Genomic DNA, 15,876 nt, shown 5'->3' on the forward strand with positions numbered 1-15,876 from the left:
TAAATGTGTGGTTTAATTTGAGTGGTTCAAATGCATTCTATTATATATAATATCCTTATATTGGATTTTTTCCCCCTCCAATTAGGTGCATAAAAAGGATAAAAAATACAAATGTATGGTGTGTAAGAAGATCTTCATGTTAGCAGCCAGTGTTGGAATAAGACATGGATCTCGACGTTATGGTGTTTGTGTAGACTGTGCAGATAAATCACAGCCAGGAGGGCAAGAAGGTGTAGATCAGGGACAGGATACAGAATTCCCTCGGGATGAAGAATACGAGGAGAATGAAGTAGGAGAAGCTGATGAAGAGCTAGTTGATGATGGAGAAGATCAGAATGATCCCTCTCGATGGGATGAATCAGGAGAAGTTTGTATGTCTCTAGATGATTAACTGACCTACTATACTCCTCAAGGATGCTGCATTTGGACCTAATATGAATCGACAATTTGGATTGTTGAACTTGAAGGCTTGCAAAATATGGTACATGCTGGATAGTAGTTATGTTGCTGTGAAAACTGTAGGGTCAAAGCCTTATAGCAAAAAAAATTTTTTTTTATATTTGCACAGGACTATACAGCAAACAACCATGTGGTTGGATTACATGGAGTCCCCACATACTCAGTCAGTTATCAAAGTAAAATATTTTTTATTTATAGGATATACAGTAACTATTTGGGTCCTATGAAAATAGTCCTTAAAGAGCTTACATTCATGTGCTACTTTAACATGAATGGAGAAAATCCGTTTATGGAAGTACAGTGACAATTGACCCAATCACTCTGTCCATCAAACCACTCAGGCTAGTTTGTACTAGTAGAGTTTTGTTTCTATTTTTATTTTTATTAATTTTATTTTTTTTAATACAGATTTTCAGTGAGGGGCTTTTTCAACCCCATTGGTTCTATTTTCTTGTATTTTTCCATTTAATTTGCTTCATAACTTAAACCAAGTCTCTTCTAGTCTTAGGTATTATTTCTCGATTTTGTGCTGATGGGCATGTTTATAAGAACTGGAGAGGTAATTTATTGGAATGAACTAACTGACTTCCTCCATTCCCCTCTTCCTTTTTGACATGAATTTTACTACTTCACAAATGAAGAATGATGTTATGAAGTTACCGTGGCGAAGTTGACAAATACCACTAAAATGATTATGATTTAGAAGTAACTTTCTTCTGCTGCTCTAATCTGATAAATGGTTACTATATGATATTTTCTGACATGGTATTTGGTTTTGGGTATCTGTTACTTTGGCACTATTCTTGTTTGCCTCTTTATTTTTGCCAGTGTACTATACCTCAGTCCTATTTGAAAGACCTAATTGAAAGAAAAATCATAGAAATAAGTAAAATGATTTGTTTTATAATTTATCCACCATGTCCAGTTTGGTTAGCTTGTTATGCAATATAAGTGAAATATCAGGTTTTTACCCGTGTCCCTTTTATCATGAAAATTAACACAAAATGTGCATTCTCTTTTGTTTCATACTTAGCGGGATATTGATTGTTTTGAAATTATGATCAATACTTAATTTATTTTTTTCTGTCCTTGAAGTCACTACACCTTGATACAGTCTTTCTAGTAGTCACCATGATTCAACAGTCTCAAAAATCTTACAAATAAAATTCTGAGAAGCTTTATTATTCTATAAATTCTTCAGGGTACAAAGGGTGACATATTGAGGTGAAATTGTCAGATTTACTTAGCCTGGTGACATGAATTAGCTGATTGTGGAACTCTCAGCAGCATTTCACGTATTGTTAACATGTATGGCATTTATTAGCATATTGTATATTATATAAGATTGAGGGATGTCATATTTTCAGCTTTCTTTTAAATAAAAATTGAGTATATTTTCCTATTTTATATCAGGTAACTAAATTATGCTAGTTATGTGGAAAAAATTGCAAAGATGCTTTGACAGATATAATCCCTTTGGTGCTCCATCTGATCAAAGTTGAAAAGTTGATGTTTTTTAAGAGACAAGCTTTATCATTGTCTCTGATTTCAGTAGAATAATGGTTTATTGTTAGACAATGATGTTTCTGCTTGGATAAATCAAAGATAAATTACAGTTACATGGTTAGATGCATCTTTTGTCATCTATATTGTAGTTTCTACATAACTGTAAACCTGACAGATAAGAATAGTTTCGGTTTGATTTTTGTTTAAAACAGATGAGTACTTCTTAATGTTCTAGACAAATGAGTAAAATGTATTTCTGGTAGAAATTAGTTGGGCAAAGATACTATGAATGAAAAAGTATTTTAAACGTAAAATGTTCTTTGTGAATATGTAAGTATAGTATAAAGATTTCTTTCATCCCATTTATCCCCTTCCTTTAAATAAACTAGTTTACAATTGGTAGATCTGTCTATATATAAATATATATTAAAGAACAAAGATATATATCTAAAAATCACCTAAATCTGCTTTATTAGACTACAGTTCACTTATTGCATAGAAACTGGACTTGGCTTTACATTCTTAATGTACTTTTACTTTTCCTCAAGATATGAACTTACTCTCTTGAAGCTGAATTTTCTTTTACTACTTAAATCATTTATGTATATCTGGTAAATTATGACCAAATTTTTGTTAGATTGCATACAGTAAATTGAAATACACACTTGGTACACTACGGGATTGTTGTGCTTTTGTTTGGTTTTAGTTGGAAATAAGGTTTGATGTAGATGGCTTGTTACTGTTAATTTAAAATATTCTATAATTGTCCATTACTTTATGTTGTGTTGTGACAGATTTGGCTATATTTTTAGTCAATTGAAATATGATACTTTAAAAGTTTGTTTTTAGGTAATCCAAAGGAAAAGTGTTTATACTCTTGAATATATTAGCCTCAGCCTATATAAAAATTTCTTTGAAGTAAACATTTTACCGGAAACAGAATTGACAGATTTTTCTACTTGCTGACTGCCTAACTTATTTTGTTTCATGATCTCGAGGGACTGCCTTTTCCCATCTAGATCTTTTAAAAAAATAGTTTTAGTACTAAGGTATACTACTGGACATTTCTATTTTTTTAAGTGTATTCTTTTTCTGACTTACAGTAAAATTTCAGGAAGTTGATAGATACTAAGAACTTATGATTGGTCTCAGAGGTAACAATGAAATACTCATAATTTTGTCTGTGGAACTCTGGCAGAATTATGTTACACATTTGGCGAAGTTGTCTCTTGTAATTTATATTTTAAATGAAAAAGTATTTTAGAGCTTTTAATGAAGGGGAAGAGTATAAACTTTCTTTCATATTCACTCTGTAGTTACAGACCGTCTCATAAATCAAGATTGTGCATTATTAGAGTTCTCAGAGACAGATACTTCCATATGGACCCCTGTTCATTTTTCTTATTTACTAGATATTTTGCTAAATTTAGCACACTAGCAATTAAGAGTTTAAAAAAGAAGAAACGTTATAGGAAAGGGAAACTGAACAGTAATGAGTAGCTTTGAAATTGGGGAAAACACACTAGCTGGGTTAGGTACAGCTATCCTAATGGAGAAGAGTGAGCTAAATGCGTTAATTCATGTAAAGTGCTTAGAACACTGGTACATAATAGGTGCATAACACATCTTAAAGTTGTTTAATAATAGATAAGAACCAAGAGGAAAAAGAAATAAGAAAAGATGGGGGAAAGGAAGGAGAAAATAGGAAATGAAAGGATTAGGACTTGGGCATTTATATTAATACAAAATGGTGTAAACGGCCTGAATATCACTGTAGTAGTATCATACGGGGGAAAGTGTGATGGAAAATAGGTTTAAAAATCTTAATTTTTAAAACTTTAGTAAGCTTTATTTATATTTTTTAGGATTTTCTGAACATAGCATGAAGGGTTTAGATTCATTTTTCTGAAAAACGATTAAAAAAACTACCAATTTTTTTTTTGAGTGCCCACACTTGCCGTTGTGCTGTATACATGATTTTACCTTAATCCTCTATAAGGTAGGTGCTAATTGTCTCCATTTTATAGATGAGGAAAGGCTCAGAGAAATTCAGAAACTTGGCTAATTTAACACAGCTGTGACAGAGCTCGAATTTGACCACGTCTGATTCTGAAGCCCATACTCTTTCAGGGAGGCTCTATTGCTGCCTCATTAAACAACTCTTGTAGAATTTCAGCTCTTAATGGAGTCTATGGATTATATTTTTCCTATAAGACAGCTGTGTTTAGAATTTTGAGTGTCTTTCCTCCCCCCAATAAATTTCCTTACTACTCTTTCTTCATAAAGCAGTTGTTTTGTCACTTTGACTATATTAAGACACATCAGTGTAGCACATGCTCTTAACTGGCTGTGGCATTTTAATTTTATAAAAGAATGGTTTTTATCTGAAGAACTAGATAGAAACCCCAGTTTTTGTGCCGTTCAGTCACCCAGATCCTTAAACTTAACTATGGTACATAATATCCACACTTAGAACTAACAGGTGTTTAGTCACTTTAGGACTTAAAATGGAAAGTTTTTTTTTTTTTCCTGCTGTATCTCTGCTTTCAACTGAAGTTAAAGAATTCTAGATAGTTTAAAATGTGTTAGGGATAAGCACACTTCAAAAGATGTTTTCTAGCCCTAAATTTTATGACATTGGGTACTTAAATTTGGAGTACACTAGCTATTGAGAACAATATTTTGGGTTGAGGAGAGATGGTTGAGGCCATTATTTAGTGGGAGCATTGGCATTTTGAACACTGTAAACAAAAGAACACTTCCGCCTGCTGTTTGTAAAAGCTCTTTGGGAAGATCTTTTACGAAGACCAACTTTTTAAAATGTAAATTACCTACCTAATATAAGTGTCCTAAGACATGTATGTAAACTTCCGGAACTGTTTTGTCTGTGTATTTAGAAAATACACAAGAATCTTTATTCAAACCTAAAAATATAAACTTGTGAGCACTAAACTGCTTCTGGCTTTGTGAATTTTATTGACTGACATTTAATTCAGATTTCTTTGCAAGTGTACTAATTTAGACTAATTGGGGTAAGGGGAACACCTTAATGAACTTTGACTTATGTATAATTCAGATATCTTTGTACTTAAGGCTTACAAGTTTGAATTATGGAATACTATAAGGGTTTTTTGTTTATTTGTATGTTTTTATATGAAAGTACATAAATGACAGACTACCTCCAAGTAATCCTGCTTTAATTAATAGCAGTGATTTGTAATCAGTGTATCTTTTAAGATTCTCTACAGGTTTTAGAAAATATTAAAAATTCCCTGTAATTTACATTTGTGCATAATCTTGGAAATGGGTTGAAAAGCAAAGGTAAACTGCTTCATCCCATGTTGTATATTTGTGGACTGATTGACTACAAGTGATGTGATGTTATAAATTTGAAGTCTTTGAAACTTTATTAATGTAGAGAAAACATAACTAGCTTTTTAGGTTATTTCAAAGTTAGTAATAGAGCAAAGGAAATCAGAACTGGCCAGATATTCAGACTTGACTTAGAAAAACAGGAGTTTGTTGATTTTGTTTGGAGAAGGGCACAATAAAGGGGAGCCCACATAGCATTATAATGCCTAGTATCTTTAAACATGTAAAGAGCTATCATGAGGCAGAAGAATTAAGAAACTTTATATGTTTCTAAGGGGTCATGATTGGGACCATTGGCTCAAGATTGAAAATCGGTTTTTAATTATCCAAAGATGAAATGGGGCTGCTTCAGAAAAAGGTCTACCACTGGAGATAACGCTATGAAAAGTGAAAGAGATTACTTAATCATTTTGACAAAGGCAGTATTGACCAGACATTTCTATTTCAGAGTTGGATTTGTGCTTAGTTTTTTTTAGGTGTTGGGACCCTTGTAGTTGCTTTTTATTTTGCTTAGTCAACAAACACTAAAATGATAAAATTTGGTATGTATAAGTACTGGACGAAGGATGTTTTGACACTAAAAAGGACATAATTTAGGAAATTAAGAATTTAGACACCAAGTTTGGCTTAATAGAAAAAGTCACTATCTGAACTTCTTTCTTTTTCACCACAAATCACCGCAGACCAGTGTTTGGGAGCAGGTGTAGGAAATTGAATTATTGGATCTATGTTTAGGTAAGAAAACTAAAGGTACTTCAGAATTTAGGCTATGACATAACTGTCTTTCTGAAGTTTAAAGAAAGAAAGTGAACTATAGAAATCTATTCAGCTAATTAAAGTGAATGAAAAATATTACAGATTCCATAACTGCATGGCGCCTTACCTGCTATTAATACTGCCGCCTTACTGTCAGCCAGATGATTTTTTCCCACCACGGCCAGTCTTAAATTTGGCAATAAGAAAAAGCTAATCTTCCAAGTGTAAGTAGGTATGTGTTAGAATCTTGGTGAAAGATAAACACAAGACAGTCTTCTTGGCGCAGGTCCTAACAGTTGGTGAGATAATACATAAGATGGTTTCAGGATTATTGTAGAATTATTTAGGTTGAAAGAGACTGTAAGAGACTAATGAAGCATACCCAGAGAGGTTGCTACAGTGACTCCAGTCAGTTTTAGGACCCAGGACTCCTGAACTTCAATTTCAGTATTATTTTTCTGTACCAAACTCATTCAATAAATACTTGAGATTAGGGATAAGTTTGAAGTTAGAAGATTCCAGAGTACACTCAAATAGTATTTGGCACATAGCTTGTTGATCAAAAGTATTTACTAAGTGAGTGACAAAAGGCACTAGCAACTTTAAGGATTTTGCCTATTAGTATCATATGGCATGTAGCTATCAAGCCAGTTTCGTTTAGTTATTTTGTGTTGCCAAGCATATGATACGTGGTGTCACACTGAGCCTTTGGGATCCTTTCCCTGGATACATAACCCTAGTAGATAATGTTACTGCAAGATGTAATGACCAAATCCAACCTACTGCAAATGTTACTATGGAAATCTCAATGCAAAAGTAGCCTTTGTGATTTTTTTTTTAAACCGTCTCCATAACAGAACACTTAGAATTATTAGCCATTTGCTGCAAAGTATTTGTTTTAAAATGTCTGGCATATACACCACTAACATTTAAATGCCCAACATTCGGTCTATACGTGAAAAAACTAGAAGAAAAGCCCTGTTGGAGTTTTGATGTAGAGTGCAATAATACATCAATAAAGGTATTTTAAAATGACCTAATGTTTTAGTTGCCAACATGATTTTTGTATTTGTAAAGAGGTATGTTGGGTTTTGGCATTTATATTTTACCGTATGAAAGACATATTCATGTAAAAGGTAATGTGAAGCTTAGCATCTCTTGTCAACCTGTCCCCTGTTTCCAAGTAGTCTCCTTGGATATTTGTAGCATCTGGATTCCTAATAATCCAGATAATTAGGATTATGGCATTTATGTACAGACATGGGTAATTCTCCAAAGCAGATCTTCCCACACTAATTTTTCAAGTACTTGTCACCTAAATCATTAATAAAATGTGCCAATTCCAAATAATAGCAAATGTAGGAATTGAATCAGCATCCCAGAGTACTAGTCCTGGGCCATATCCTCATTAGGCAAAGGAAATTTGAAGAAGTTATTTTAGGACTTTACCTAAGGTGAAGTCTAGAATTTTACATATGTAGGTATGTTTTTGTTAGTCTTATATTTGCCTAAAAGTTATACGTTTTATTATTTCATAGGCGTAAATATGTTTTTATTAAAATCTTAGATTAGACTGAAGGCAGTGTTTTGGAGCCAGGAATCATTCTAAACTTTTATCCTGTATTTGCCTTTTAAAGGTAGCTGACTCTGACACCCCAGTCTGTGGTGGTCTTTCATTGCTCCGGGTGACTTGTACCACACTCAAATGTGAGCTCCCGTTTCATTCTGTGGACTCTTCCTCTTTGGTCATACATGCATTCCACAGATATACATTGAGTGCCCACTTGTGAGAAAATGGGTAGGCCCTTTGATGAATAAGGAGACCATAGGGTATATAGTGTTCTCAATTATTACTATACTGCAAGTCAAGTCAGTTGGGATGGGAAAAGATGAAAAATTAGACAAATGGGAAATTTTACCAAAAAGACCCTTTGTATTAGCCTTTTTTTTTTTTTTTTTTTTTTTTGATGGAGTTTTGCTCTTGTTACCCAGGCTGGAGTGCAATGGCGCAATCTTGGCTCACCACAACCTCCACCTCCCGGGTTCAAGTGATTCTCCTACCTCAGCCTCCCAAATAGCTGGGATTACAGGCATACGCCACCACGTCTGGCTAATTTTGTATTTTTAGTAGCTACAGGGTTTCTCCATGTTGGTCAGGCTGGTCTCAAACTCCCGACCTCAGGTGATCCAACCACCTCAGCCTCCCAAAGTGCTGGGATTACAGGCATGAGCCACCACACCCAGACTTGTATCAGCAGTTTTTAAAAGCAGGAGTGTTTGGGAGGGGTAACAGGTTACAGGATGAAGACAAATATAAAATAGTGCAGATTAAGAATGCATACAGGCAGCACTTTACATTGTCCCCCTTCAACATAATAAGAGGGGAAATAATACTTTCACCTTAAAAATGCACTACAGCCTTTTGGGAAAAAGATGTTAACTATTAATTTTGGCATGTGCTTGACATTTTTGTATTAACTGGCATAGACATTAAAGTTGGTCAGTTAACGTCTTTTTCTAGGATAGGAATATATTTTTTTAAGTGCTGCTTGTTTCCATCAGCTATATTGGATAAGTCTGTAGAACTAGAAAAGCTCTTTTCTCAGAAGACTTGGTATATACTCAGGGAAACTGACACAGTAGAGTCTACCTACCATTTTAGGGGTGTAGATGATGGAGAGGGTTTAAAGACGTAGAGGAGTTTTCCTATCCAATAAAGCAGTTCACTAAAATTGCAGGTACTTAGGTTAATGTTCATTTCACTTTTTATGGGGTGGTAGAGAAAAAAATCACCTTACAGGATGAAATCGTAAGCTTCTGTAAGTATTCTCAAGGAAAGTGATAGCCTAAGTATCTGTATTTAATTTTAATGTGTTTTTTTAATTTAAAAAAGCACAGCATATTTACATCCTCCAAAATTAATATATCAAATGTTTAATAAGTTTAAAATTCCAATTTTCTCATTGGTTGGAATATATTATTCTGGATATATTTCTTATTGCCTATTGTATATGCGGGTGTATTTTGCTTTTTAGTCAGGATTATTTGATGTATGTAGGAATCACCAAACTTTCTGTAAGGGGCCAGACACTTTGGTTTGGTGAGCCATAAGGTCTCCATCACAACTATTCAACTGCTGTTGTGGCATAAAAGCATCCATGGACAATATGGAAGTGAATTGTAAGGCTGTGTTGTTGTGTTTATTTACAAAATTAGGCAGCAAGCCACAGTTTGCTGATCCCTGATCTATAGGTTCCCCTTCCCCCGCACCTTGTCCCTGTAATACATACATTGAAGAATGATGTGCCTTCCTAACATCAACGTATTATTCCTTTCCAGAGTTACAAATCTTGAGTAGCAAAGAGACTTAACTTTAATGGCATCGTTTTAGCTGCAAAGGATAAAAACCTTACCATCTCAGCTTTCTTAAACAGCAAGACCTTAATAGGAGTTTAGTTACACCATATCTCAGTACCCAAGGTGTCCCCCCAACCCCCACCACCAAACACCCTGGTTCCTAGATGAAAGAAATAATATATCTGATTCAGAAATAACATTCAGAACTTCATGAGAGGAGACTTTCACTTGCTAATAAAAATAATTTGCTAATTTAGACCCTTTTGTTGCCACATTTATGTTAAAAGAGCCTTTTATTTTCAATCATGCTTCAACCTTGAGCACTGTAACATAGACTTTCTGTAGCCTTTCAAATGTTGAGTATCTGATTAACATCTACATTCATAACAAGGTGTCACTAAATTAGACTTGTCAGTCATCTTGGGCATAGCTTGAGAATGCTAAGTCTGTGAATCAAAACAGCTGACCTGAAAAATACTTTCCATCAAGCCCTCAGTAAAGTTCCCAAGACTAAAGACTATCAAACTGAATAATAAACCTTTATGTCATGACACACTGATTCCCCATTGGAACCCCTAATTGAGGACTTTCTTGTAGACTTTGTGTTGCCCAGTCTGGTGGAATAGTAGGCTCTCAGTAAGTACATGCCAAATATACAAATTCAGTGCTGAGCACAACTCTGGAGTCAGAAAATTTCTATTTAAAACACAAGTTGACCTAACTTGTTCCAAGAGTTTTCCCATAATATTAAGGCTAATATTAATCAGAAGTTAGTTTGGTTCTAAGGGATGTAGAAAAATTTCTATTGTTTTTCCTGTTTAATGAGATCCTATCCCATCAGGAGTGTCAGATATAATCAGGGAAGATATATAAGGGAACTCTAAGGAAAACATAACCACTTAAGATTATGAGGGCATTCCATGCACTGTCCAACCCATAGCAATCTAGATTCTGTCTTCGATATTTTAGTGGAACTACCCTTCAAAAGGCCACTAGTGACTAATTGTCAAATACACACCCCACTCTGCAGCATTTAGCATTATTAATGACTAGTTTCCTTCAGATAACACTCCTCTTATTTGATCCTGAAAGCATCGATATTCCCCTATTTCTTTGCTGGGCACTCTTTTTTTTTTTTTTTTTTTTTTTTTGAGATAGGGTCTCACTCTGTCACCAAGGCTGGAATGCAGTGATCTCAGCTCACTTGCAGCCTTCACCTCTTAGGCTCAAGTGATCCTCCTGGCTGCGTGCTCTTTCCCATTGTTCTTTCCATTGGTGTTACTCCATTCCATTGATCACAGTGGCTTAAACTCTGGTAATTTTTATCCCTGATCTCTTTGGAGTTTGCAAACATGGAATGATACCATGCACTATTGCTTGGTGCATAAAGGATATTCAATCACAATCCTAATTTGGGTCACAGTTCTTTAGTTTCTGTTGGATGTCCTCAAGGTCTTTAGATTTACATTTTACTGTACGGAGTCTCACCATGGGCTGATGTTGCATAGTAAAATCACTTTCAGAAAAATTACAACCTCAGCTTTTCTGAAGATATTTAATGCATGCCAGCCATGTTAACACTGTTTGATGAGGTGGTGTCTAGCTGATTTCATCATGTCTCATCAACATGTATGTGTCTCTGTTAACTAAGATCAATAGAATCTTAGAGCTGAAGGAATGTTAGAAACAAATACTCTGTACTTTATCCAGCCTCTGCTTGAACTCATGCCATAAATGTGTACCTCCCACTTACTACCTCATATAACAGGTCATATTATCTTGAGGTCCTATCAGTTCTTCCCTACATTTGAGGCAGGTGGAAATCTGCCTCTCTACAACTTCCACTGGATAATCATTTCATCCCCTGAAGCCACTCAGATTAAGTTTGAGACTACACATAATGGTTTATGTAACAGTGGAGATTGGAAGGGAGAGAGGAGTGCTTGGGATCTTAAAATTTTTCTATGCCTAAAAAACAATACTCTAGGTTTTCTTTCTTTCTTTTGAGAGAGGATCTTGCTTTGTTGCCCAGGCTGAAGTGCAGTGGCACAATTGTATTTCACTGTAGCCTTGAACTCTTAAGCTCAAGTGATCCTTCTGCCTCAGCCTTCTGAGTAGCTGGGACTACAGGCATGCTCCACCACTCCCAGCTAATTTTTTTTTATTTTTTGTAGCAACAAGGTCACACTATGTTGTCCAGGCTGGTCTCCAACTCCTGACCTCATGCAATCCTCCTGCCTCGGCCTCCCCAAGTGCTAGGATTACTGGTGTAAGCCACCACACCCAGCCTCTGTTTTCATTTCTGTAAGAATAATGTGAGAAATCCACGCTGTTTACCCTTTTTCAGTTGAATGTTTTACTTTTCAAGACTAAGAATTGAATATTTGATATCAAAAATTGATGCCCAAAAATACATTTTAAAGAGAGGCATCAAGAATTATTTTTTATAAACTAGGATGTTAATTTGCTGGCACTGGTATAACACTTATCTTGGAGAAGCAAGTTTAATCTTAAGTTTGCAGTTTGATATCAAAATTTAAATGTTGCTTAATCCCAGGCATTCAAGAATTTCATAATTAATTGACTTAAGGCAGTGTAATTTTAACATTCATAAATTTATGCAATTCCTTTAGAAAATGTATTACAGGGATGATGAGAGGTTTTTTCTTTAATTGCATTTTAGATTATAGTCTAAAAGAAATGAGGAATATTTCAGTATTTATTATTAAATTCTTGTAAAACTTCAAGTCCCTCAAGCCCAAGTCATTCGCCTCTTTAGCAGCAGGATAGATTCAAAATTATAGCTACTTTGTTATTTTTATGCTGTCCTTCTTTTGAAAAACATTAAGAGTATATGTCTAGTGCATTTGTGTCACTAAGATGGAAGAATTTGAATATTCTCACTAGCTAATTTACATCCTAAAAGTTATCAATGCTCATTAGCAATTTTTGAACTTAAAAATATGAGTTAGGAAATTCCCTAATAATAAACACCCAAATGCATTTTCTAAGGCTTATTGTGTGCCGTTTGAAAGCTACCACCATAGATGTCATTGTTCTCTTGGCATAAAATCTACGAATATGAGAGAGCTGAGAATCCTAAGACCATCCTTCCTGTCTAGGTGATTCATTTTATTGCCATTTGCAGCAATTGATTGATATGCGTGACAAAGGGAAGTTTTTACTCTTCAAGCATCTATCACTCAGTAGCATCATGCCAATTTGCTGTAAGTTTTATGTTTAATGTAAGTCATTTCCTTATAGTATCAGTGTAACTCTAGACTTCTAAATGTTGGGAAACTAAGTGCAAATGATACAGACATGCAGTATTTTTTGCAAGCAGGAAATTGATAAATATGCATTAGCTGTAGTGGTAAATATGCATTTACCACTGTAGAAGTTTGTTTTCTGCATTTATGATGTAAATAACTTGAAAAATCAGATTTGAGAATGTTTCCAGTATATTATACTGTAATTAATGTCCTTTCTAGTGGCATATTTTAAAAAATAGTACCTCCTTTATCACCATAATTCATTGTTGGAGATGACTAATGGAGTAATTGCAAAGGCAGAATGTAGCATTTATATATGCTAAAGAAAGAGACTCAGTTTTTATTTTTTAACCACATGCACTCACAGAAAACCTAATTGTACCATTAAAGAAAAATCGCAAGCAATTGAAGCTAAAGATTGATGTACTATGTAATTGAGTCCCATCATAATAATTTAAGTATGTTTAAAGCATTTTTATTTTGGAATTAATAATTAGAACATGGCATATATTTAAGGCCTTTATATTTCAATTTCAGAGATGAAAGCTTTTAAAGACTTCTGAGAAGCGTAGTCATAGCTCATGAACAGGACTCTGTCATGGACATTGGAGAGGGAATGTAGGAGATTCTTACGAGGCACAATAGATGGAAAATATTCCTCAAGCAAAAATTGTCATGATTTGTTGATGTCATTTAGAAAGGTTTCAGAATAAACTACAGCTTCATATGAACTGGCTTTACTTCTTTGAGCAGGAAAAGTTGGTGAATAATTGGATAATTTTTTTCTTTAATATATCCAGAACATTTGGTATATTCCATCACTATTGGTATCATTTAGATTATGTATATTTATTTAGCTCTATTAGAAAACTTTTGTTTTTTCTTTAGTAGAGAGTGATCTAAATAATCTCGTTTAATTATTTATAATGTGAATTTTAAAAGCGATTGAACTTTTTATTTTCCCTTTTTGCGTTTGTGCTTGATGAGTGTTCCATACATTCTTTGCTTTCATCTCTGAGTTCCTACTTAGTCCTTTGCTTACTTTCTTCTGATCTTTGGCTAACTCTTGGGAGTTATTTTTCTAGCTAAATTCTTTTAACTACATCTAGCCATGTTTTAGATATAAAGACAAAGCTGAAGACTCACTGTATCTTCAAGATAACCTAAAATAAATTGGAATCCTATTTTATTTGCTAAAAATAATCTCGATGTTTAAATTTTATTCTAATGTTAACCATGTAAATTTACTACTGGATTTTGAATACTTTACTTCCATGAATAGTTTCTTCATAGTATATTTTCCTCTGCCTTAAATTTGGCCATTTTGCCCTGACTATGACCTGTCTTGTTTAAGCCTAACTGGCTAACAAATGCAGAGCGAACCTCAAAAGGAGAGCATTGTTTTCACTTTTAAATAACCTTCTTCAGGGATTTTCAAACTGTGCTCTAGGGTCCTAGGGGCTCTTTGAAGATGCCTCTCTAGCCTGTCCGGGAAGGACACAGCAGAGTAGGTGGGGCCCTGGGCCTTCAGCTAAACCTCAACTACAGCAGCTTCACTTTTATCTTATTTGTTAGGCTTTCAGGGTTTTGTGCTTAAAAAAAATTTTTTTAACCATTAATTTAAAAACACTCATGAATGATAATAATAATAGTAGCTTTTCTTTATAGAGCACATATCTTGTCCCAGACCCCGCTTTAAATATTAAAAATATTTAAATATTTTTTTAAAAATCCCTCTAAAATGTGCTTTCATCATCCCTGTTTTACAAATTAAGAAACTGAGACTTAAGGAAATAAGCAATTTACCCACAGCGTCATAGCTACTAAGTGACAGATTCTGAATTCAAATTTGGGTGCGTCAATTAATGTATTAGTTTAAGCCAGGAATGACAAATACAGGGTAAGTGTACCCTCACCCCATATTCCCACACCTGAGGCAGACAGGACTAATGGATGAAAACAGTCTTTTTTGCTAATCACCAACACAGCCTTAGAATCTTTCTCAGCAAGGTGCTATGGGCCGTCAGTCCAAATCTATTGGTTGTGGCATTAAATGAGGCCTATTTACTTCCCCTACTTTAAGGTGAGATATTTGTGGCCCCACACTTCAGAATAGGAAGTCTCTTCAGCCCTAAAAGTGTTTGCCAGTTGATTGTTTTGATATTACTAGAAAAACACCAAATTATCTTTGATCCTAGATGTACTTTATCATAATGAAGTTTTCTGTGAACTAAAATCCCTAACTGTATCATCTTCATTCTGACCACCTTCTAATACAGAAGTTTTGTTTCTGTATTTATATATTTGTAATCTGTATAATTTATACATTGATAATTATAAACACCATACAGTCCTCATAATCAGGATCAGTACGGGTTTTTAAAAAACAAAAAAACATTCACTTTGAGTAGCCTAGTGGAATAAAGACCTAAAGTAATTTATATTCTGAGACCTAATATTTTAGCTGTGGAGTGGAGGTGGTGAGGGAGAGGATGGAGAACTCATGCTTGGGGTAAGTCAGCCAGTTTCCATATAGCTGAGAATTTAGTGGTTTGAATAACCTTCACTGTTTCCACTACCAGCATGCCCTGCCCAAGAATGTCATAGCCACAGGGCTGGGTGAATGCCCAAACATTTTAAAAAAGGAGTATACACAACCAACCCCCAGCTGATTTTTTCAACTGCTCTTGCCAGGAGGGAACCAGTAGTTCCTGGGCTGTACCCATTCTTACCAGGGAGAGCTGGGTGCAATTAAAGTTTTTCCTGTTAGGTGCAAGACTTTTTGAATGACTCATCATAGTTCCTGCTTAAGACGTGTCAAAGAGGCCCAAGGCTATATTTAGGAACTTACTATGAAATTGCCTGTCAGTTCCAACCAATTTTTCCAATATAGTATATATGAAGAGTTAGTAGCAAGTAACTTTAAATACATGAAAAGGTTTTTGTTGTCATTTTTTGTTGTTGCTGTAAACTGGTATTGAAGATTTTCTTAAACGGATGGACATTCCTTTCATTGTGAAATGATTTAACACCCATTCAGCATACACATGACTATACTGGAATGACCCTCATATGACCATTGTCATGGAACCCATTAAATTCTTGTTTAAAAAAAGTTTGAATATGTCTTAAAATGTCTTCTATATGAATAAAA

At 34.6% G+C, this 15,876-nt stretch overlaps 1 protein-coding gene across 3 annotated transcripts in view; it reads left to right on the forward strand.

The window, feature by feature from the left end:
* ZBTB10 (zinc finger and BTB domain containing 10) overlaps window positions 1–7,128 on the forward strand; it is a 40,673-nt gene extending 33,545 nt beyond the window's left edge. For all 3 annotated transcript variants that reach the window (NM_001277145.2, NM_001105539.3, NM_023929.5), the window contains one exon: window positions 86–7,128. In NM_001277145.2, the coding sequence (NP_001264074.1) occupies window positions 86–391 (306 nt within the window). In that variant the 3' untranslated portion in view covers window positions 392–7,128. The remainder of the gene's footprint in view (window positions 1–85) is intronic.
* The last annotated feature ends 8,748 nt before the right edge of the window (window positions 7,129–15,876 follow it).

The sequence above is a fragment of the Homo sapiens genome, chromosome 8 (genome assembly GCF_000001405.40).
Source record: "Homo sapiens chromosome 8, GRCh38.p14 Primary Assembly".
Taxonomy (NCBI): domain Eukaryota; kingdom Metazoa; phylum Chordata; class Mammalia; order Primates; family Hominidae; genus Homo; species Homo sapiens.